This window comes from Homo sapiens, chromosome 10 (genome assembly GCF_000001405.40).
Source record: "Homo sapiens chromosome 10, GRCh38.p14 Primary Assembly".
Classification (NCBI taxonomy): domain Eukaryota; kingdom Metazoa; phylum Chordata; class Mammalia; order Primates; family Hominidae; genus Homo; species Homo sapiens.
This window is the reverse complement of record NC_000010.11, coordinates 71,491,877-71,512,918: the sequence shown is the minus strand read 5'-3', so window position 1 is coordinate 71,512,918 and position 21,042 is coordinate 71,491,877. Positions and strand designations below refer to the sequence as shown.

The 21,042-nt window shown below is 49.8% G+C and overlaps 1 protein-coding gene and 1 long non-coding RNA gene across 6 annotated transcripts in view, besides 2 other annotated features; one reads left to right on the top strand and one right to left on the bottom strand.

Annotated features, from left to right (window-relative positions):
- Nucleotides 1-21,042, bottom strand: part of CDH23 (cadherin related 23) — a 419,028-nt gene that overhangs the window by 303,029 nt on the left and 94,957 nt on the right. For all 5 annotated transcript variants that reach the window (NM_022124.6, NM_001171930.2, NM_001171931.2 and 2 more), the window contains exons 4-6: nucleotides 2,695-2,837; nucleotides 1,918-1,965; nucleotides 1,707-1,799 (exon numbers count right to left, since the gene is read on the bottom strand). In NM_022124.6, the coding sequence (NP_071407.4) occupies nucleotides 1,707-1,799; nucleotides 1,918-1,965; nucleotides 2,695-2,837 (284 nt within the window). The remainder of the gene's footprint in view (nucleotides 1-1,706; nucleotides 1,800-1,917; nucleotides 1,966-2,694; nucleotides 2,838-21,042) is intronic.
- Nucleotides 999-4,766, top strand: CDH23-AS1 (CDH23 antisense RNA 1). Its single transcript, NR_120672.1, has 3 exons — nucleotides 999-1,141; nucleotides 2,909-3,004; nucleotides 4,581-4,766. It is a non-coding gene; the product is annotated as a CDH23 antisense RNA 1 (long non-coding RNA).
- Nucleotides 11,059-11,579: an enhancer, noted in NCBI's record as "H3K4me1 hESC enhancer chr10:73261097-73261617 (GRCh37/hg19 assembly coordinates)". NCBI's record gives its function as "activates a minimal SCP1, AML or CMV promoter by ChIP-STARR-seq in naive H9 embryonic stem cells {active_cell/tissue: H9 hESC(naive)}" and the evidence as "EXISTENCE:reporter gene assay evidence [ECO:0000049][PMID:30033119]".
- Nucleotides 17,412-17,911: an enhancer, noted in NCBI's record as "H3K4me1 hESC enhancer chr10:73254765-73255264 (GRCh37/hg19 assembly coordinates)". NCBI's record gives its function as "activates a minimal SCP1, AML or CMV promoter by ChIP-STARR-seq in naive H9 embryonic stem cells {active_cell/tissue: H9 hESC(naive)}" and the evidence as "EXISTENCE:reporter gene assay evidence [ECO:0000049][PMID:30033119]".

Below are 21,042 nucleotides of genomic sequence, written 5' to 3'. Positions count from 1 at the left end.
TGTCATTCCACATTCCTGTGGCCTCCCAGGTCTCTGCACAATGACAGCCTGGCTCAGAGCCAAGCCCACAGCAGACATTCAATAAATATTTGTTAAATAAATGAATGAATGACTTGAAGAGACTCTCTCCTTGGAGGCACAGGCCTTTGGAGAATCCCAGGGGATTCCAACAGGGCCGAGTGTTGGAAGTCACATCTCCTGAAGCAGGAGAGAGGAAAAGGCTGGCCCCCAGCCCAAGGGCAGGAGAGGAGGGACATGACCCCTCGTCTCCTTGCCAGTGCGGCTCCCTGCTGCCCCATGAGAGGGAAGAGAGGGCAGCCATGCCTGCCAGGATGGCAGCTGAGCAATGGGTCCAAGGCTCATTAACTCTGAGCCGTGCCCTTGGTTTCTGAGCCCAGGCCCGGAGTGCAGGCTGGCACGTAGAGACCCTTAATTAAATTAGGGAGACTTCCAAATGAGAGAGAGCAGGAGCCAAGCTGCAGTCCCTGGGCACACCGGCCACAGCTCAGAGCACCATGCCCCCATGTTTAGGACTGCGGGCTCCCCAGTTCTCTCCCGCCCCAGGCAGGCGAAGTGCATGGTGCCTCCGCTGCATCCCCACCTGCACATCTGTCCTCTCTTCCATCTGGTGCCAGCATAGGACCGTTGGCTCGCAGCTCAGTAACAGAGGCCAGGGAGTGGGGTGTATGAGCAAGATCTCGTCACCCTCGAGGGAGGCTGAGCCTGCCCTAGAAGCCAGGTGGCTCGAAGTTAAAGCTGTGCGACCTCGGGCAAGTCACTCTCCCATGCCCAGCCTCATCCATGAACTGACTGCGATATTCTCTCAGGGCTTTTTACTCCCTGATCAGTCATTGGATCAAGGAGTTAGAACTCAAATGACATGGTGCCAACCTGCCTTTCCAGAGGGTTCTACCTTCCACTGTTCCCATCCCAACCCTTCACTGCCACCGCCCAGCCCAAAACCCCGAGGGCAGGCCCGAGGGACACCCAGTGAGAAGCCCTTTACCCTCCCACTTCAGAGTCTTTGAATCACTAACTGCCAGACCATAAGACTGCCATCAGCCACCCAGGAGAGGGGCCGCAAGCAGTGGGAACCCTGGTGCCATCGGGAGCTGGCAGCCAGCTTATTAACGAACCGTTTGTAATGCAATAATTTGTACTTCTCAATTACCAGCAATGGCTTGATTTTACACGCATGCACTCATGCAAACATACTCAGAGTACACAGTACAGGGGCCTGGGAGACCATGGTGGAGAGCGCGGGGCTAGGGAAAGCCCCTTCCTAGAACTGCATGCTCCCTGAGTCCTGGAGGGACCTGATTCTGGCCAAAGCAGGAAGATCTGGGGTTAGGCCTGCCCACCCACCCTGCCCAGGCCCACATTTGGATACGAGTGGAAGGAAAGAGGGTGCAACACCTGCTTCTCCCAACTCTTGTCCCACCATTGACTCCAGCTGGAGGTGTGGGGCTCAGCCTCCAGCACAAGGCTCCCAACCTACCGGCCCAACTGCTCTTCCCAACCCCAGGCTGGGCCCCGATTCCCAGGGTACCAGCATGTTCGCCAACCTGCTCAGAGTTGGCACCTGGGCTGAGGTCTGGGCAGAAGAGCCACAGCTGCTCTCCCCACCTGACTCTTCACCTACACCATGGTGGTCTGGGGAGCAGCAGGTCTCTGATACCCTCAAGGGTAACCCCAGTGGCTCCTACCTCAGGGATGCGGACGCTGTAGGGCTGATTGTGAAATGTGGGCGCGTTGTCATTCACATCCCCAACCTGGATGTTCACCTTCCGTGTGATCACCTGGCAAGAGAAAGGCGGGCAATTAGCGCCGCCACCTGACTCTGGCCTCTTCCACCCTAGGGGTCCAGAAATCCTGTGACCCCAGGAACATGCCTCCAGGGCCCCAGGGAACACTCACCCCCTGGTGGTCGCTGACAGAGAACTCCACGGTGAACTCTGACTTGGTCTGAAAGAAAAGTGAGAGAGGGAGGGGGGCAGTTAGGCGGTGCTGAGGTCCTGGGTCCTGGGCCCTAAATGGGGCGGGAGGGGCTCCAGGATTGCCCTAGGAGCTTGCCTGGAACCAGGCACCCAAAGGCTTCCCTAAAATACCAGCATTGCCCTTTGGGTTGGGGAAGCAGGTGTGGAATATGGATCCTTGCTTTAAGAGAGCAATAAAAGACAGAAGCCGAGCATCTTGGGTGCTAGTCTTGGCTCTGCCTCTAAGATGCTGTGTGACACTGAGCAAGTCACTACACACCTCTATGGTTCCTTCCTCAAACTCAAGGAGAGGGTAAGGGTTGGGGATGTGTTCACGTCTTTACCTTAACTTGCTAAGGGCTACCATGCCGTCAATTCCTGCTTCTCTGGATATTGGGGGAATGTTTACTGGGGGTAGGGGTAGACTTGTACCCTCCATGGAGGGCCATTCTACAAGGGATGAACACAGGGTCACTGTCCCTCTTGCCTCTCCAATGTAGCTGCTTGCTTGGAGACACCTCTAGCCACCCATTCCAACCCTAAGTCCAGACACCAGCATTGGCCCTTGAAGAGGAATACCATTCAGGCAGGAAGATGCCACTGTGGAGTCAGAATGGGGTCTTAGAGGAAGACGCCAAAAGATGGCGGGCCGTCCTTCCCCCAGTGTCTCCTCCTGTCCCCAGGAGAGAATTGGGGCAGGGGTATGGGCAAGTCATACCTCTCTGTCCAGTGGCTGCCGGAGCCACACCACGCCAGTGTCAGGCTCCACTGCAAAGAAGCGAGAGGCCTCCTCCCCAGACACGCCAAACACCAGGGGGTCATTGTCCATGTCTTGGGCCAGCAACTGGGTCACAGAAGAACCTGGAGTAGCCAAGGGAGAGAGCAGAGGGAAAATAAGAGAGGTCACGTTTATGCCTTCCTACCTTGCCCAGGTGGCTGAACTCTCAGCAGGGAGTGGCCATTCAGCAATCCTCCAGCAGGCCACAGATCATCACAAGGCCCTGGCGCATCTGGGAGCTCTGATCCAGGTACCCCACCTCCACCCTGGTCCACTTGTCACAGTGTGTCATGATGGTATCAGGGAACCACCACTCACCATGTTCTGAGTGTGTAAAAGACACTTATGACTTCTGCCTGCCCCCCTTTCTCTGATTTTAATTTGAAGACCTCCTTCTCCAAGTGGCTCAGATGAGGACAGGCCCCCAATATTTCAAGTCTTATGTTCCAAGATGAGCATATAAGTCAGCGCTAGCCAATCAGAGTGTGCCATTTCCCTGGTCATGATGACTGGTTCAGGGATGAGCATGTGACCCAAACTAGCCAATCAAAGCCAGCCCTGGGACTTTTGCTGGAACTACTGGGAAAGAGGAGCTCTCTTTCATGGGAGTTGCTCATTGGCACTGCGGGCAGCCATCTTTGGCACCACACAAGAAGAGCCTGTCTGAGAATGAAGCACACAAAGGAAAACAGAGGCAAATGATGTATGGAGAGACAGATTCCTGATGGCTTTCTGAGGGTCTGTCACCAGCTCTGCTGACATTAGCTCCATCCTCTGGACTTCTCAGCTATATGAGCTAATAATTCCCCTTGCAACCTTTTCTTTGGCCTAAGTCAGTTTAGTTGGACTTCTGTCTTTTGCAAATGGAAGCACCTTCTCTAATTCAGAATACTTTGCAAAATCTTTTGGCATTCATTCAAGAGTGACCAGGTGCTGCCCTTATGATGAGCACTGGAGTACACAGAGGTTAAGAAGATGTAGCTGAGCCTCAAGGAACTCCAGTCTAGAACTGGGTGACAAGGTCTAGTTCCCATCCTCAAGAAGGGGATTGAGAGGCAGGTGTCATCCCTTACCAGGAAGCAAAGCCCTGGCCTGAGGGCACCTAGGCTTCAGGATGCCTGGTCTATACCCTCCCTAAGAAGTGCAGGGCATCATCTCCTGGGGCTCACAGCTCCCCTGTGTAGCTTTCAGGTAGGGTCACTAACTGCCCTGCTTTGCCCAGGACTGAAGCATTTCCCAGCACATGTGCTAAAACCAGGAAGCCCCAGGCAAACTGGGATGGTTGGTCTCCTTAGCTTCAGGAGGTCCTTAAACTCACTAGAACTGTATACAAAATGTGATAAGTGTACAGCGCGTCATTTTCCGAAGACAATGTCTATAGTCTTCCTCTGATTCTCAAAGGGGTGAGGAGATCGGAGCCATGGCCTAAGGCAAATCACTTATTTCCAGGTTTCAGTTTCCCCTATAAAATGAGACAGACACTACCTGCCCCAAATACTGACTCTCACATTTACCAAATAGCTCTGAAAATCAAGCTAGATAGAAAGAAAGGATTCCAAATTCTTGGAATTTTATCTAGAAAAGAACTTTTAGGACAGTTCTAACATGATGATGCTAGCAAACATTTCTGAGCCCTAATCATAAGCCAGGCATAAGCTGAGCTATTTCCATGCACTAATTCAGTCCATAATGCAATTCCCCCCATTTAACGGATAAGGCAACAAAGAGTGATGAGGTGATTACCATGTCCTCATGGTCAGCAAATGGCAGAGCTGGAATCCACATCCCAGGCATTTGGGGCTCAGAGCCTACATTTCTTTCCACAGCACAGATATCTCAACACTCAATATGTAAACTCAAGATTCAGGACTTCATGGACATGACCTATCAGATCCTAACAAGAAGCCCAAGATCTGGAAAAGGAAGACATTGGACATTCACTGGGCTCTTATGATATGCCAGACACAAGGTCCATTCATGTGGATTCTCTCATTAAATCCTCCCAGCAAGTCTGTTTGGTAGTTGTTATTCTATCCATTTTGCAGATTAGGAAGCTGAGTCTCAGAGAGGTGAAGCAGCTTCTCCAAGGTCAAACAGCAGAACAGCAGAGCAGGAAATGGCAGCATCCAAGGTGATGGGAGAAGGTGAGAAGGAGGAGTAAAATCCTGGGACATCTTCAGAGCCCAACCCTCCCATTTCGGAGTTGGAAAAGCTGAAGGCATTTGGCAAGTTGCCCAAAGCACAATGGTGAGCCACAAAGGCAGGGTTCAAACCCAAGTTTCCAGACTCCCAGATTCCCAGTTCATTGCTCTTTCTAGACGGTGTAAGAGGAAGTATGTGAAAGTCACAGATAAACCAAGCACATCTTTCCAAAGCGTTTGCATTGCCCGGTGACAAATAAATGTTTTATACTAAAACGAACAGGAAGACATTGGGAGCAGCATTTGATTGATTAATTAATTATTTTTTGGGTGGCAGGGTCTCGCTCTGTCACCCAGGCTGGAGTGCAAGTGGCATGATCTCAGCTCACTGCAACCTCCACCTCGCAGGTTCAAGTGCTTCTCCTGCCTCAGCCTCCCCAGTAGCTGGGATTACAGGCATCAGCCACCATGCCCAGCTAATTTTTCGTAGTTTTAGTAGAGATGGGGTTTCATCATGTTGGCCAGCCTGATATTGAACTCCTGACCCCAAGTGATCTGCCCACCTCGGCCTACCAAAGTGCTGGGATTACAGGTGCGAGCCACCATGTCCGGCCTAATTTATTTATGTTTAATTTATTTGTAAAGATATAATCTAAAGCCATAAATGAATTTCTAGCCTCCCCTGACTTCTAGGAGTATACATTTCTTTTCCATTGCTCTCAGGTAATCTCTAGTGGCAAAGTTTGGGAAACACTGAGTTACCTCCCAAAGCCTTGGGCAGATTCCAGATGGGGAAACTGAGGCCCATAAGCGCCTTGCTTGTCCAGGTGCAACAATGAGTCCATGGCAGCCTGCAGCCCCCTGGACCGCAATCCTCACCTGCTGTACCTCAGGGCCCAGCCCAGGTGGAGGATCTGGGGCCAAGCTCCCAGCTGGCCAAGAGGATTCTGGGAAGACCACCCTGGCCTTCCAGCCAAGGTTGCACAACTGGGCCCAATATCCCAAATGGCTCTCTCAGGCTTGACGCTCAGGTCCTCCCAAGAAGGGGGGCGCTGGGCAGGACAGGGATGGGGCCATCAGCTGCTGTCACCCACCCTGTAATTTCCCGGACTTTTATCCATTTTCCCCTCAATTATGTGCTGCTCAAAATGGTCCTTTTCAGCTTCTTCATGGGCTCTTGCCTGCTCATGCCTTCTTTGTGTCCCAGGTAATTGCTAGTGACCTTTTCTAAGTGTACTAATTAAAGGTGCCGATTTAATATTATATTTAAGACAAGACGCCCTGCAATTTTCCAGCTGGGCACATACTCCTCCGCCCAGCGCTGCTCTGCCTCTCTACAGAAGCTGGGCCCAGCCCTGGCTTCTCCGGGAAGCAAGGCTTGTTTCTCCACCAGGGGAGGTTTCCAGCAACCTATGGTTGTGCTATTCCTACAGGAGTGAGGCCAGTCTCTGGGGTTCAGCTCCAGCCCAGTGTTCTTAGTTACAGCCATGCAGGAGAACCATCTCTGGCTGGGGGACCCTGGGGTACACATGCCACACAGGTTTGCTTCCCACCTGAGAAACAATATACCTTGCATCTCAGGGCTGAAGGATATCTGGAGTTCCTTTTGTAAAAATTTGTGGTAAAATACACATCACATGCAATTTACCTCTTCAACCATTTAAAGTACACAATTCAGTGGCATTTAGTACATTCACGATGCTGTGCAACCATCACCACTAATTCCACACGATTTTCATCCTTTCCAAAGGAAACTCCATGCCCATGAACCAGTCACTCCCCATGAATCCCTTCCCCAGCCCTGGCAACCACGAATCCATTTTCTGTTTCTATGGATTCGCCTATCCTAGATATTTTATATGAATGAAATAATACAGTATGTGGCCTTTTGTGCCTGACCTCTTTCACTTAGCCAAATGTTTTCATGGTTCATTCATGTTGTAGCATGTATCAGTACTTCACTCCTTTTTAACAGCTGAATAATATTCCCTTGTGTGAATGTAACACATTTTGTTCATTCATTGATCAGTTGACAGCTATTTATGTTGTTCCCATCTGTTGACTATTGGAAATAATGCCGCTATGAACATTTATGTACAAGTTTTTGTTTGAACATCTGTTTTTAATTATTTTGGATGTATACTTAGGAGCACAATTGCTGGAACATACAGTAATTCTATGTTTAAATTATTGAGGAACTGCCAAAGTGTTCTCCATGGTGGCTGTATTATTTTACATTCTCACCAGCAATGGATGAGGCCTGGTGTTTTTTCAGCGGTAAGGAGGATACCCTGCTATTCACAGGGGCTGGAATGCCCTCTTATGATAGAGAGATGGGAGCTGGCTGGGTCTCCGCAGCAGACGCTATTGGTACCCTGCCCTCTGTCCCTCAGCACACACATTTCCACACACACCAGCCTGACTTCTAACTGCCAGCGCCTGTGAGTGTTCTCCCGAGGGGTTCCGGCCATCAGAGACTGCTCCTCCTAAACACAGCACAGCCGGGAAGTGCCGGGAACCAATGCCCCAGTAAGCGGAGCTCGCCGAGTTACTGTGGAAGATGATAGATAAGGATGACCTTGTCTACCATGGTTAGAGCTAAAAAATGTTAGCTATCATCATCATGTTAGAACCCTCCTAAAAGTTCACTTACAAAAGCTGCTTAGTCTTCTTTTCTAGATAAAATTCCAAGAATTTGGAATCCTTCCTTTCTGGCTTGACTTTCAGAGCTCTGTGGATAAGGTAGGTAAACAGCCCAGCTTTGGCACCTCTCAAGAGCATAACTCAGAGGTCCGTGTTCTACACTGGCAACTTGGTTGACAATAACGCATCTTTATGGCTTCCCTCCCTTCCTGTCTCACTTCCTCACTCCCTACTTGTGTTTCCTGGAACCTCCTCCCCAGTAAGCTTCTTGCACTTAAATCTTCATCACAAGATCTATTTCTGGGGGAGCCCAAATTTCCAATGCATGTTTAAGACGGTACATTGGAACTACTGTAGAGCTTTACAATGCAAATTCCCAGGCCCTCTTGACTGGGTTGGCTACTGGGAAGCCCAGAGTATAAACTTTTAAACAGCAGCCCCCACTCTCCCTGCAGGAGACGCTCACACACAGCCAGGTTAGAAGTCCTGTAGCTGGTTTATAGCAGGATGATATTCAAATATTTAACAACAGGCACAGTACAGGCATCAACCAATCAGAAAAAACGCTGGCCGTAAACAACCAGACCAGTAAGTACTGCCTGTAAGTCAGCCTGGTTTATGGCTCCCATTTTAGATGCAGAGAAAAGCTCCACCCGTCCCAGGATGACTGAAAGGCCCAGTCTTAGGACTCCTGGCTCAATCAGTGCGGCAGAGGATTCTGTGCACTTGGCCTCTCCTACCCTCATGGGGAAGGGGCATCCAGCTAGGCCAGCCCCTCCACTCTGTGCCACCCAAACCATGCCCAGTCTAACCTCATGGGTGGAAAGCAGAACATTCAAGAACTTAATCACTGTGCATCTGTGTTCATGCCAGCATTCTTTGCAATAGCCAAGAAGGGGGAAGCGATCCAAGTATCTGTCCACAGATGAATGGATAATCAAAATGTGGTAGATACAGCCAATGGAATATTATTCAGCCTTAAAAAGAAAGGAAATTCTGACACATGCTACAATATGGATAAACCCTGAGGACATTATGCTCAGTGAAATAAGCCAGTCCCAGAAAGACAAATACAGTACAATGTGATCTCCCTGATATAAGGTACCTAGAGTAATCCAATTCATAGAGACAGAAAGTAGAATGGTGAGTGCCAGGGGTCGGGAAGGGCAGAATGGAGAACTATTATTCAATGGCTACAGTTTCAGTTTTCAACAGAAAAAGAGTTCTGGAGGTCGGTTAGGCAACAGTGTCAATGTGCTTAACACTACTAAACTATACACTTAAAAATGGCTAAGATGGCAAATTTCATGTTATGTATATTTTACCATAATTAAATTAAAAAAAAAAAACCTTAAATTGACCATTTCTAAGGCCCTAGTGATCTGGTCCAAGATGACATCCATCACTGAATCTCACAGGCTCACTGGGCTGAGCCCCATCTGGCCCCACATGCCTTCTTTCTGTTCCCGAACAGGACAAGTTTGTGGCTGCCTCGGGACCCTCGCCCTGATTGTGCCTTTGGCTGGGAAGGTTCCTACCCTAGGTCACTCCACCTCTACGGCAGCTTCCTCATTATTCACCTCTCGGGTGGCGAGTTAGCACGTTGGGGAGGCCTTCCTCAAATTCTCAATCAGCAGAGTCTAGCTAAAGAGACGCCTGGTTACTCAGTGTCCTAAGACTCCACGTTATTGTCTTCACAGTCCTCTCTCTCTGAAAGGATCTGCTTATTCACTTGACTTGCTGACCACCTACCCCAACCCCCTGCCCATCACGCAGCACATTCAGCCTGACCTGCCTATTCCTTGTCATATCCCTAAGCCTAACACAGGGATTGACATCCTGGAGGCACTCAATAAATAGTCATTGGGTAAATAAATGAATCCTGCTAACAACTGCCCAGAGGTGTTAGGAAAAGACAGCCCCCCAAAGTCATGAAGGTCTCTGAGCCACAACGGGAAGAGAGAGTATAGCAAGTTAATTCTTAACTGTGTGCACAAATGGACAGGGGAAAGGATAGCTGATCAAAACCTAATAACACCCAAATCAGTAGCACTTGTCTTTGGGCCCAGGCAGGAATCACAGCTGTGCAATGACTGGGGGTCCAGTCTCTGAGGAACCGGCCCTGTACCCCATCCTGGGGGCTGTGTACCCCATCTTGGAGGTAGGAGGTAGGAATCTGCCCACCAGACTGCTAAGGCCCCTTGGGAGTTGCAAAGCTGGTGGCACATCCTCCACCGTGGCCTCGGCCCTCAGCAGCAGTCCACATCTGCCTTCCAGGCAAGGGGTGGACAATCACAGCTTCCCCTGAGGCCCCACTGGGCCCATGCTGATCGCTGAGATGACTGTTATTACTCTTATTGTTGTTATTTGCACTGAGGGGCAAGGGCTGGGATTGGGGATTGTGGTCATGCGGCTCCTGGAGAGCAGTACCTGCTAGATGAGGGGCGGGCCAGAAACTCTGGCAGGGCAGCACAGGCTGCAGGGCTTTTTATTTTCTCTAGATGAGAGAAGGATGAAAGCAATATTTGTTACCAAAACACGGAGGGGTGAATAAGCGGTGTGAGAACATACCCTGCTCCCTCCTTGCAGCAGCATCTCCTTAAAGCACACCTTCCATTGTGCCACACTCTGCTCAAACGCCTGCTTAGTTCCCAGAGAATGAAAACGAATTCCTTACCATGATGTCTAGTGCTTCCCAATGCATCCTCAACCTCCCTGGCCATGCACATTTCCCTCTGCACCCCTGGGCCCGGCCTGCCAGACTGCTGTCACCCGAAAGCATACCAGGCCCCTGCATGGATTCATTGTTTGCACCTCTGCACAGCAGGCAAGAGGCCATCACCCCTTGAAGGTAGAAGTTGATATTCTGGGACACGCTTGGCAAATCTTCCTTCTCCTCTTCCCCATCCCTCATGATTAACTACTGCTTTTCTAGGGCCAGGGAGCTAGCCAGTCCCAGCTCTTGCCCACACAGACCTTATTAATCAATCACAGCACCTTTTCCCAGTGAATCTGCATTCAACTTCAGAATCCTTCACAATACAGGGTTCCATGCAGCCACCATAATCAATCCTAAAAGGCACAAGAAAGCAAGGCTTTTGCAACCTGTGACCTAAAAGGACTTCACACCAGCTGTGATCTACTGTCCTTCCCCATCTAGGGGCCAAGAACCTAGTGGTCTGCCTCTGCCAGGCTCAGGGCTGTTAGAGAGACAGAACCAGCCTTGGTGTCTGCAGGCTAGCTCAGAAGCAGGGACTAGTTATCGCTGAAGTGAGAACCAAACAGACAAAGCCCCCTTCTCATTTTGCAGAGAGGGAAGCAAGGGTCCTGGCCGGGAGAGGGCCGCCTGGGATAGAGCTATGCATGTGTGAGTAGCTGAGCCAAGGAGTTGCAAACAGCAGGGCCCCAGCCTCAAATTCCAAGGCCACGGGTATGGCCAGGGTTTTCTGAGAATAACTACTCCTCACTCCAACTGTCCCACCATGGCCATCAAGCCTGCTGCACACCCCCACCTGCAAGAAGGGAAACCCACCCTCCTCCTCCTGGCTGGCCGGGTCCCTGCCAGGGCCAGGGGCTCCTGCCCTCCCACTCTCCCTGGGATGGGCTCCCCAGAGCCTGAGCTGGCCTTGGAGCCTGCCATCTCATTTGTCTCTCCTCTGGGATCAGACAGGCCAGTTAAGTGCCTTGATTCCTGGGGATAATCTCATTTGTCTTAGGTCCCACCTCCCACCCTTCTGCCTTCAGTCTCTCAAATGCCCTGGGTCCTGAACTTGGTTTGACCTCAGGGGAGCTCTTTTCTTCATCTTAGGCTTCACCAATATCTCCACCTGGGGGAAGTCAGAGGGAGTAGAGTGAGCTCTGACACTGGCCGGTTCTCTCCTGAGAGGCAGGCGGCCTCTAGGCTCACCCTTCACTGATCGACGCCCTCACTGTCATCAGAAAACCCTTGACCTGGGTCAAAGGAACCATCTCTACCTTCAAAGCCCACAGGCCAGCTTCACTCCTGTGCTCTCCTGCAACTCCGTCCACTTGGAGGGGACGGCATGAACTGTCAGGGGGAAAGGAAACCAGCATTCTGTTTCCTGGGCATGACTCTTTGCCAGGTACCACACTCAATGGTTTTCATTCATTTACTCTGTCACTTATTTCTCCTAATGGCCTTACACAGAGGGGTTAGCATCCCTGTTATACAGGTAGGAAAACTGAGGCTCAGGCCAGGTGCAGTGCCTCACGCCTTGTAATCCCAGCACTTTGGGAGGCCAAGGTGGGTGGATCACTTCAGGTCAGGAGTTCAAGACCAGCCTGGCCAACATGGTTAAACCCCGTCTCTACTAAAAATACAAAAGTTAGCTGGGGGTGGTGTCACAGGCCTGTAATCCCAGCTACTCGAGGCTGAGGCAGGAGAATTGCTAGAGCCCAGGAGGCAGAGGTCACAGTGAGCCAAGATCATGCCACTGCACTCCAGCCTGGAGGACAGAGCGAGACTCTGTCTCAAAACAAAACAAACAAAACAAAAAAAGAAAGAAAGAAAGGAAGAAAAGAAAAGAAAGGAAAGGAAAGAGAAAAGAAAAGAAAAGAAAAGAAAAGAAAAGAAAAGAAAAGAAAAGAAAAGAAAAGAAAACAGGCTCAGAGGGGTAAAGTGACCTACCCAAGGTCAGCAAGCCAGGAGTCCAACCCAAGTCTTTCTCATTCCACAACCCTCATGGTTTTTATCACAAAGCCTTTTATCCAAATCCAAAACTCAGCTCCTGAATACAGCCTTCTTCTCACCCCAAAGCAACTAACCCCATGGGGGCGGCCTCCAGGTGGACCCTGGTCTGAAGGTGAGCAGCCCTGAGGCAGAGACTTGGTGGGGATGGGCTCCCCTCTAGCACCCTGGCTTTCCTCAGTCTACTTATTGCTACCAGCAAGACGGCCATTCCCTCCTGAGAGTCAGAGAAGGGGCTGCGGGCTCACCTGGCCACACAGGTGTCTGCACTGATGGGGACAGGCTAATCCAGGGAAGAAGGAGGCACTAAACAGAGCCGGACGACACAAACCCAGAGGCTCTGGGGGCAGGGAAGAGGAGGAATAAGTGAAGTACACACAGGCACATATATTTTTTAAAATGTATTTATTTTATTGATACATAATAATTGTACATATTTACGGGGTACCTGTGATATTTTGATACATACACAATGTGTAATGATCGGATCACAGTATTTAGGATATCCATCACCTCAAACACTTATCATTTCTTTGTGTTGAGAACACTTCAGATCTTCTCTTCTAGCTCTTTTAAAATATACAATAAATTATTGCTAACTATAGCCACCCTATTGTGCTACACAGCACTATCCTTTTTTTTTTTTTTTTTTTTGAGATGGAGTCTCGCTCTGTCACCCAGGCTGAAGGGCAGTGGTGCTCTCTTTCAGCTCACTGCAACCTCTACCTCCCAGGCTCAAGCGATTCTCCTGCCTCAGCCTCCCGAGTAGCTGGGATTACAAGCGGGTGCCACCACACCTGGCTAGTTTTTGTTTATTTGTTTTGTTTGTTTTTGAGACAGAATTTCACTCTTGTTGCTCAGGCTGGAGTGCAATGGCATGATCTCAGCTCACTGCAACCTCTGCGTCGTGGGGTCAAGCGATTCTCCTGCCTCAGCCTCCCAAGTAGCTGGGATTACAGGCATGCACCACCATGCTCAGCTGATTTTGTATTTTTAGTAGAGACGAGGTTTCTCCATGTTGGTCAGGCTGATCTCAAACTCCCTACCTCAAGTGATCCACCTGCCTCCGCCTCCCAAAGTGCTGGGATTACAGGCGTGAGCCACGGCACCTGGCTGGAATTTCACTCTTGTTGCCTAGGCTGGAGTGCAATGGCATGATATCAGCTCACTGCAACCTCCACCTCATGGGTTCAAGCAGTTCTCTTGCCTCAGCCTCCCAAGTAGCTCGGATTACAAGCATGTGCCACTATGCGTGGCTAATTTTTGTATTTTTAGTAGAGATAGGGTTTTGCCATGTTGGTCAGGTTGATCTTGAACTCCTGACCTCAGGTGATCTGCCTGCCTCAGCCTCCCAAAGTGCTGGGATTATAGGTGTGAGCTAACTATATTTTTTTACTCATCAACCATCCCCTCTTTCACTCTCTCCCCAGCCACTGGTAACCATCATTCCACACTCTACTTCCATGAGATCCACTTTTTAAGCTCCCACACGTGACTGAGAACATGCGACATTTGTCTTTCTGTGCCTGGCTTATTTCACTTAACATGATGATCTTCAATTCCATCTATGTGGCTGCAAATGATAGGATTTCCTTTTTATAGCTGAATAGTATTCCATTGTGTATATATACCACATTTCTTTATCCATTTATCATTGACGGACACTTAGGTTGATTCCATATCTTGGCTATTGCAAATAGTGCCGCAATAAGCATGGGAGGCAGCTATCCCTTTGATATCCTGATTTCCTTCCCTTCACACACACATTTTTTAAAAATTAATATGCCCCAGAGGAAAGATCAGACATTGAATACCAATACTTCAGGGACCTGGCCCTGACTCTTAGAAACCCGGAGCTCCTCTGCCTCTGACATAGCAAATAAGGACCATCATTTGCTGAGGGCTGCGAGGACCAGTCATAGGCACCTATGTGCTCTATTCCCCTACAACCCAATGCATCACAGAGAGGTCAAGTTACTTGCCTAAAGTCACACAGCTAGCACAAGGCAGAGCTGGGATTGCTCAGTGACCCTCCTGTTGACATCCTCCACTGATTCCCTCAGCAAACACTGCCTGGGCACCTGCTGTCCCTGGTACTGCTGTAGGCACTGATGATAAAACAAACACTGCAGCCAGAAGAACCTGCCCTCCTGCAGCTGACAGTCCAGCGGGCAGACCTACATATCTATCACACTGCACACTTCTCCTGGCCTTTCCCCGGGACCCTGGGGAAGTTCAGGATGGACTGGCAGCTGTTTGCAAACTGTAGGCATGAAGAACTGCATCCCTGCCCTTCACCTGGCCCGAATGTGACCCTCAGGACGAGCATTCCAGGGAGTCCAAGGACAGGAGGTTGAGGACTTGGAACACAGGCTCAAAGGGCACAGGAGAAGCTTTGGGAGCAAGGCAGCCTTAGAGAAGTCCCTGCCTTTAAGGCTGAGAGAATCAGCCGGGCCTAGAACTGATGTGGCTGGCCCTGGTTCACACTCAGCCAGGACTAGCTGTGTGACCATGGGCAAATCGCTGCTGTCTCTGAGCTTCTCCTTCCCCACTGACACTACGAAGGGGCTGGCATCAATGGCCAAAGTGCAGAGGTCCACGAGGAGAACTGAAAACAATCTTGGCAAATGGGTCAAGTTTCATGTGCCCACTCCAACCTCCGGGTCATGGTTTTGTGGGTGTCGTGCTGGGGAGTGTGAGGTTGCATCTGAGGTCAGTAGGAAGAAGTGTGTGATCTGCCAGTGACACACGATGCACACAGGGGAGGGAGTAGCTCTACTTGGCCGAATATTTGCATTCTTGATATGGCCAACAAGCTCATTTTACAAAGGAGAAAACAGGGCTGGGTGGCCCGGTGACAAGTCCACAGTCAACCAGCTCAACAGCTAGCAGGTGGAGGAGCTGCCTCTCAAATTGGTCCCTGGACTCCCCATACGCTGTTCTTTCCACCACACCACATTAAGGTCCCTTCCAGTTTAGATATCTACGATATTAAGGCTCTGTTTTCCACATACTGTGTACAAGGAAGGCGCTCCGCAGCGGAGGATAGACAGGCAGAGAAGACCCAACCCGGCTCCCAAGGGTTTACAATCTGGTTTGGACACTTGGGGAATGAGCTACCGCAGAGCCAGCAGCCAGGGTCCATGGCAGACTGGATATTTTTTTTTTCTGCCCTGAAATAGCAGCCTGAGCATGAAACAGCCATGAATAAAGGGGCCCTGGAATGTTCTGTTTGACCTTCCTGAATCCTTGCGGCAGCTCCCAGGCCCATGAGGGTTGAAGTCTTGTCTCAGGGCTTGGAGAGCCAAGAGGTAGTTACCAGATTTAATAACAGTGATAACAGTGGGGTGGGTGTGTTTTTTTTCCCCTCTCCTGAAACTTTTCAATTCATTGAATTGTTCAATTAACTTTACAAAAGGAAATGTTGAAAAATGACGGCAAATTGAACTTGACATTATCATTAAAATAAACAGAGCACTGCAGGCCATTAAAGGCTCACAAAGAGATTATCCAAACACTTGCAGGCACATGCTGGTTCCTTCCTTCTCAGAAGTGATCCTGATGTCCCCTTCTGCCCTAAGCTACAGGGAGAAGTCACCAGTCACCCTCCCCATAGCTCAAGAATGAGGCTGCACTCGTGAACCCATCCTCACAGTCCCCTGAATGTGACCGTGGGGGAACAGCAGTGGCCTGGCTGGAGGATGACTCTCCACTACGAGGCTGCCATCTCCGGGGCATCCCTTCCGTCTTGGGCCTCTGTCCCAGTGCAACAAAGGGTCATTTCAGCCCTGGCTGCAGCTTAGAATCACCTGTAGCCCTTTTGACATCCCAACTGTCCATCTGTACACCAGACCACATACATCAGGATCTCCAGGGAGGGACTCAAGCATCGGGATTTAAGAACAAGCTGAACCACTCGAGTGATTCCAATGGGCTGTGGAGTTGATATCCAGGGTCTTGATGATTTCTGAGGTTCCTTCAATCTTCAGGACATATCTGAGAAACTGTGATGGAGGAAAACCTAGAGGTCAGCAGTTCCCACACTTGTCAGCACACTGGAATCAGCTGGAGCTTTCGAGCAATACTGGTGTCTGCATCCCACACTCCCAACGTTGTGACTAGCTGGCCTAGGGGCCAGCTTGGGCTTTGGAAAGTTCTAAATCGCCAGGTGATGTACTGGGCAGGCAAGAATGGGAATCACTCCTCCAGGGAGGCCAGCTTCCCTGAGCCTCTTCCAGTTCTCCATGTGCTTACCCATGTGGAACCCAGCTACAATGGGGGCACCCCAGGCACATTCAGCTTAGGCCAATCCACAGGTGGAGCAAAAAAAAAAAAAATGTTTTGCTTTGTTGCCACTTCCCATGTTCAAAATTTTCCAATCCCAATATTAAAAAGATGTTAATTAATGGCTTTGAGGCCATGCATCTCAACCTGATTTCATATTAGCATCACCTGGAGAGCTTCTAAAAATAAGGATGCCCAGGCCCCAACCACTAAGGATTCTGTCTTAATTAATTGGTCTAGTGCAGGACCCAGACAGCAGTATTCTGATATAAATCCTCAAATGATTCCCACGTACAGCCAAGTTAAGAACCACCCGGTTAGAGCAGTGATTCTCAAACTTGAGTGTGCATCAGAACTACCAAGAGAGCTATTAAAAACAGATTTATGGGCCCCTCCCAGACTTTCAGGTTCTGAATATGCATTTCTAACAAGCTCCCAATTGCCACTAATGCTGCCTGTCTGAGACCACATTTTTGAGAACCCCTAAGTTAGAGTTTCCATGAGTCCAGGTCCTAGAAATTTAAGATTTTTCTTTTCTTTCTTTCCTTCTTTCTTTCTTTCTTTCTTTTTTTTTTTTTCCAAAACCTCTGTCACCTGGGCTGGTGCAGTGGCACAATCATAACTCCTGGGCTCAAGTGATCCTCCTGTCTCAGCCTCCCAAGTAGCTAGGACTACAAGTGCGCCACTGCACCTGGCTAATTTTACAATTTTTTTTTTTAATAGAGATGAGGTCTTGTTGTGTTGCCCAGGCTGGGTTCAAACTCCTGGGCTCAAGCAATCCTCCCACCCCAGCCTCCCAAAGTGCTGGGATTACAGGCGTGAGCCACCGTGCCCGGCTTAAGATTCTTTTCTAAAATAATTTGGCTCTGGGGAATTTGGGACTCAAGGCCTGATTTCAAAATTCCATCACCTCCTGTACCCCTGCTGTCCACCCCTTAGCCAGAGACCCAACCCAGCTTGTCTTCACCTTTCAATAGCAGGAAAAGAAATGAAGAAAGGCGCAATCATAAAAGCAGGTGAGCAAGACAACCTCCCTTCTGCCCTGCCCTCCTCCCACCCTCCTGCCGCGAAGGAGGTCAGAAAAGTCCCTCCAGAAATCACTTCCTCTTTGAGGAGACTCGTAATTACCCACAATGATCACAGCACCATTCATTTTGCCCTAAAATTAATACATCACGTTGAGAATGATATCGCACTAATTTATCACAAGATTTATGAAACTTGCACTTTTTCTAATGAGATTTATGCAAATGCCGTTCTTGCCTCTGTTTGTGTTTTTAAAAGTTTTGACAGGGAAGTGGGGGTCCAGCCCAGTTGGCAGAGGCCCTGCCCCCACTCAGGGGCAGGGCTGGGGCTCCGTGGTGGTTCCCACCCTCCGAAGGCCCCAGGTGAGCAAGCGCCTTCAGGCTTTTCACTGGGCTCATTCTCCATTCCTCTCCCCCTGGGTACACACCCTTTATTCATCTCATGGGGCTCACCTGCTTTCAGGTGGGCAGGCAGTTACAGGGGCAGGGCTGGGTCTCTCTCATCCTACCAGAGGCCTTCCAGGTACTCAGTCTCTGAGATCAACTGGGGGTTATGGGTGCCGGGGTAGCAGGACCCAGCTAGACAGGGTGGAAACTAGCATGAGGCAAGTCAGGCACCCAGGAGGCACTCACGCTTAGGTCCTGCCCCTGTACTTGCACAAGTCTGAGAATGTCTCCTGAATTTCTGTGCCCTGGGGGCCAGCTTGCTTCACCGCAGTCCCGGCCTTGCCACTATTTATTGAGCATCTACCGTATGGGAGACACTCTGTTAAGCACTTTGCACACACAACCTCATTCAATATTTACCACAAACACGTGAGGAAGGTATTCCCGCACTCCAATGAGGAGACTGAGTCACAGAGAGGTTTAGCAACTTGCCGAAGATCACACAGCTAGGAAGAGGTAGAGCCAGGATTTAAGATTCAGGACTGCCTGACCCCATATACAATGTTCTTATCCAGTACCAGCCCCAGATGATTCACAGAAGGCCTTCCCTCTGCTGGAGTCACATCCTACACACCCAGTTATCCAAGACATAGACAAAAAGCAGGAAATTAGCCCCAAAGGCCTTTGAGCAGGTAAAAGCCATGGCACAAAATACATGCACTAAATTTCAAGCTCATTACAGAAATGAGAGATAGGGCCAAGTCCTCACTCAGAGCCTGTTGACTTGTACTTTACACACAGTTATGATGAGCTTGGCACTTTGCTGCTTGCGATTTATGGTAATCCCAAGCAGGTGCATGGACAATAATAGGAAGCAAATGAACAACAGCTTCTGCTGCTCACAAAAGGGAAAGGCAAAAAATTCTCCGAAAAATGAAAACTAAAATAATTTGAGTCCCTTCACTAGCTCTTGTAAATGACAAAGCATCATCATAGATTGCTATTCATGGTGATATGTTCAACCACAGGCCAAGGAAGTGCTGAATGATGAGTCATCCCTATATAAGAAGGCAGGTAGGTATATAAGAGATCTTATGAATATTCTATGCACGCTATTATAATTAAAAAAAAGGATTTTGTGTGTAAAGGAATGCTTCCCAAAGTGTATTTCGCGAATCATTAATTCCCTGGCAGGCTAACGGGTGCTCTGTGAAAAAACGTTCCTTGGTCCAAAAGATCTAGGGAACATTGCATTAGAAAAAAAATCTGAACAGGTTTCTTTCCTGCAGGATCTCTCAGAGCCTTTATTACAGTAACGTGTGCTGTGAAGCTCCACAAGGTGGTAAAGAAAATACAGCCTTCCCCACATCTATTTGTTCAGGAAGCCCTTTATTCCGAGAGCCTCTCAAAGGATGCCAGTGGAATGGGAAATAATAACTGGGGAAATGCTGGGCCAGGGGCTTTTCTGGCTGTTCTTACCTCAGGCATGTCTCTTCTTGGGGTGAGTAGATGGATGGATGGATGGACAGACGGACAGATGAGCAAATGAGTTAAGGAAAAACAAGCTGTTCTCAACAGAATCTCTGTTGTGGAGGGGGATGCATGAGTGTGGAGTCTGAGAACACTGCCTAGATGATTTCTGCCCGGATCCCTGCCAGCTTGCAAGTCACCACCTCATGGGTGGGGAACCTGGGCCTCTCTGCTTCTAAGGGTGGCAGGTCAGGGGCAGTTTGAGCTGCTTTCACTCAGGCCAAATCCTGAGCACCTGGGATCATAATCATAATAACTTGAAATATGTACACAATGCACATACTTTCCTGGCCACCGATTCTGGGATTCCCCTGCCAACAACCCCACCACTCCCCCACGCAATGAGCTGTCTGGGGGCTACACACTCTCTTAACAGATGAGGAAACTATGGCTCAGCACTGCTGAGTAGTGTGCCCACAGCTGTACAGCATGGGCTTCTGGACATGGAGTCAGGCGCTGAGGTTCCACTCTCGGCCCTTCTGTGTAGCCTAGGCAAGTTGCCCCACTTCTTTGGCCTTGTTGCTGCCTAAGAAGCTGTGGCAGGGGCAAGCCGGGAAACACAAGAGGAGCGCTGAATCAATCCCACAATCTGGAAGAGGCCACGAGCCCCCCACGGCAGACTCCAAGCGCAGCACACCCCGCCCTGTGTCCTTACTGGCCTTCGATCCTCTGGACAACATCTCTCACGTGACTGTGAGCGCCCTGAAGGCAGGAACTCTGACCTGTGTTCTCTGCTGTATACCCAGAGCCTTGAGGAGTGCCTGGCACAGACAGGCCTGTGGTCAATGTCTACTAAACAAATGATGGATGAATGGATGAATGAAAAAATGAGAGTGACCTGGTTCTAGTGTTTGCAGGAGTGTGGTTCTTGTAATGTCAAAAGCCACACCAAGGACTCCATTCCATCTCTGCAAAGCACATCCCAAGGAGCGTCCTGCTGTCTTTGTTTGAGGGGCAGAGAGAAGAGAGTAAGGGTCAGTTTTCCCAATGCCTGACCTGTCTGGGGTCTGCCTAATTGGGATGGATGTTCTTTAGTTGGGTGTGTTTGGTTTTTAACTAGGCAGAGGGAAAACTCCTAGAGTCCTCAGATGTCCTCTTTCCATTGGAATTAGTATCTACCCTTCCAGTCTAGTATAGACAGAGCTAGAAGCTCTCAGGCCCCACATCATGGAACTGGTAAATGTGGGTGGGCAGGAGGCAGGAATGGGTAAGTTGAGGGTAGGCTGCAGAGAGCTCCCTTTGCCATTTAGCCAAGGGGCTGCCCAGAGATTGGCCCCTACACACCTCTGTGCCACCTGTGACACCTGTCACCCATGGCTTTCAATGCCCTCTGTTCCTGAACATCGAGTAATTTCACTCCTGGAGACTGTGGCAGGACTCTGGGCTCTGTGCTCTCTCTAGCTGGGGCCTCCCTCTTAAACTGCCTCTCTCCAGGGTGCGGCACCACTGTGAAGCTGTGCTGGGCAGCGCAGTAGGGCAATAAGCCCTGGACGTGACCTCCCTGGGTTGCTGGCACCAGGACCTGCGTGTGCTCGAGTGGGGAAGGCTCGCCTCTGGTTCCAGTGGGAAT